Source organism: Homo sapiens, chromosome 7 (assembly GCF_000001405.40).
Source record: "Homo sapiens chromosome 7, GRCh38.p14 Primary Assembly".
Taxonomy (NCBI): Eukaryota; Metazoa; Chordata; class Mammalia; order Primates; family Hominidae; genus Homo; species Homo sapiens.
This window is the reverse complement of record NC_000007.14, coordinates 79,908,305-79,911,336: the sequence shown is the minus strand read 5'-3', so window position 1 is coordinate 79,911,336 and position 3,032 is coordinate 79,908,305.

The following is a 3,032-nucleotide window of genomic DNA, read 5'->3' as shown; positions in this document are numbered from 1 at the left end:
TTGGACAAGGTGTGGAAAGATTGTGATCCATAGAAACTTCATTATCCTAAGGTAACTTGGAACTACCAACCTTGGCCTTCAACTATCAGGGCTAATTTGACTTCAATGGCAAGAGAAATATTCTTTTCTGCTTTATTTTTCCTTTTAGGAGTGTTATATATTGTTTTTTTTCTTCTGCTTTCCTCAGGTCTTTTCAAGCTGGTTCAGAAAAATTCAAAATGTAAACTGCTTCCCCAATCGTTTCCTTTTGATCACTGTTCAAGTGGTGCCAATGCTCAGCTGCATCATTTGGTTCTCATTCTTTTTTTTTTCAGGTACTTTAAGTATCTGAAATTAATTTTCCTAAAATGTTCTTCTAGATTGTACATTGGGTTTTTCCCTGGAATGACATAAGAATTCAATAAATTCTGTTCCAACCAAAAGTATCCATTAATTAAACAAATGATGACACTCTCACCTTCCTAAGTGGTATTCCATGCAGATGTTACCTCCCATCAGATCAACATCTAATCCAAACCTGTTCTCAGTGCAGTAGTGACCTCTATGACTTCTGTAATGACTACTCATATCCTTCTTCTGGGAACTTAACATGGTGAATTCTCCAGACCTCTCCCCTTAGAATACTTGCCATATTTATCTATCTTCATGCAGCAGCTCTGTCAATTTAAAACTCAGTGAAAATATTCCATGTCTATTGATGAAGACTTTATTTCTAAAATATGTCCAGATTTTATGAAACTATCTAGTTATTAATCCTAATTTTCCAAGGGAGCTATCCCAGTGGCTTCTCTCTGGTTCACTGGCTTCCTGTTTTCAAACTGCCTCTTAAGTCATCCAAGTGTGGACGCTAAGGTCTTCCTATTTTTATCTTCTTGAAATGGTGGTCTGTTAACCCATCATAATAGCATATCTTTTCCCTGACTCCAACCTTAATAATACATAGGGCTGTGCATATCTCCATTTCTCTTTTATATACATCTAGGCTGTCCCACCAGATAGCAGTATTTATCCTAAGTAAATCCTCATCCTTAGGCATGTCTTTCATTATAATCTTCTTTATTTCTTTTACTACTTCGGTATTAATTATAACAAAAATAATCTGCTTTTAAGATGCTGACCTTGTTCCTCCTTAAGAAATTATAAGTCTTAGAAAAAATATAGGTATAAGCTTTTAAAATTTTCTTCTTAGCATTATAATAATTCCATAGTTTTTTTCCTGTACCTCAACTCAAGAAGATTACTTATCCAATATATAATGAGGACCAAAAGGCCTCTTTAGCTGTTCACTGATTAAAATTTTATCTGTCTTGTGGTTGAACCTATAGTCTCTATGAAATTCACAATGATCAAAATCTATGTGAAGTCAGTTTGAGATAATGAGGAATGTGGGGGAATAACTATAGGAATTGTAGGGCAAACTTCATAATTTAAGAAGTAAAGCAAGTCACATTCACCCCTTGGCCTTGGATACAGTTTAAATCAAGATAAAGAGAAATAAGTTTGGTGTCACATGCTCGTATGGAGCTCTTAAAAATGAAAGACAGTGTAGAAATTCCATTACTCCGTTAATTCCCCAGCCTGTGTCCTGGCCAGGAAATATAGTGATGAGAGCAATGTTCCTTTGACTCACCAAATGAAGGAACCTTGTAATGAAATGCTATCTATTTGGTTGACTTATTTCTGGCTTTGCCATGAGTCTTAACTTTTTACTGTGGGGATCTATAATACCTTGAGAAATGAAATTATTTCTTCTAAAGTACCTTAGAGAGTACCTCCGTACCTTAGGATCTATGAAAGACTGGAAGTCTCAGAAAGTGTAAGTCGGCTTTGATTGCTAAAATCAATCTTTGTTTGTTTGAACTTCAAACGCGGTTTCAGTACCTTACCTGAGGATGCCACCAAAGCCTTGCTTAATTCTTGAAACGTGGCAGACTCTGCCTGCTAAGATTTGTCTTTGAGGCTGCTATTCTTTTGACATTCACTTCTGGTGAAACCATCTGACGTGGCTGCACAGAAGGCTTGGTGTCCCCAGATGTGGTTTTGATCCCTAATTCTTGGGTTCACATTCAAGGTTTCCTAAACCACAAGAATGTAAGGGATTTTTGTCACTGCCATTTCTCAAGCACCTGGAACAGTGACTGGCATATATTAGATGTTCAATGAATAACTAAATTGGGAAGTCAATGGTCATTCATTGTCTCTCTGAAATGAAAATCAACGTGTCCCCTAATAAATTGTTAATTTTCAGTGAATAAAAATACCTTTGTATTGTGATTGAATTTAGCTTGATTATGCCTGGGCTGTATATGAAGAATGACCTTTAACAATAACCTGATGACTCTCAGCCTATCATCATCTCACTAAACAGGTTAGTTTCTTTTCTCATAAGAAAACTTAGTGAGTGGGGTAAAGTACACAAGTAGGGGATAATTCTGTTCCTTTATAGGTAATGGAATATATGTCCTCAGACCTCTATGGAAGATAAAGAATCAAAGAATAAATATGTCCCCTGCAATCAGGACCATAATTAAATTTTCACAAAGGCCTATCACATGCAGTTGTTTGGGGTTTGAAGCATCATTGAGAATTAAGGCAATAAAATAATGAATACTGTGATATTTGACCTCTGCATTTCAGCCGAACAAAAGTAATACAAATTTGATTAAACAGAATTTTTGATAACAGCATTAGAGCACTATTTTCTATTTTTATAAAGGATCACTTAAGACAGGTTATAAACAGCTTTGCAGAAAGCCCCAGATTAGGGTTACGATGGTATATTTTACTATGGTTAATGCTAGAGCTTCAAAGGTTATTAGCTGGAAATTTTAACTTTGGCAAAAACCCCTTAACAACAACAACAACAACAACAACAACAACAACAAAAACAGTACAAAACAAACATGATTTTTCTCATGCTTTTTTTCACAATCGAGGCTACATTGCGAAATGGATAGTTAAGAGAATGTAGTGTGTTGGTGTAACTTAAATCTGTATATAATTTCAAACAACTCTCTTCTTTAAGTAGGGAA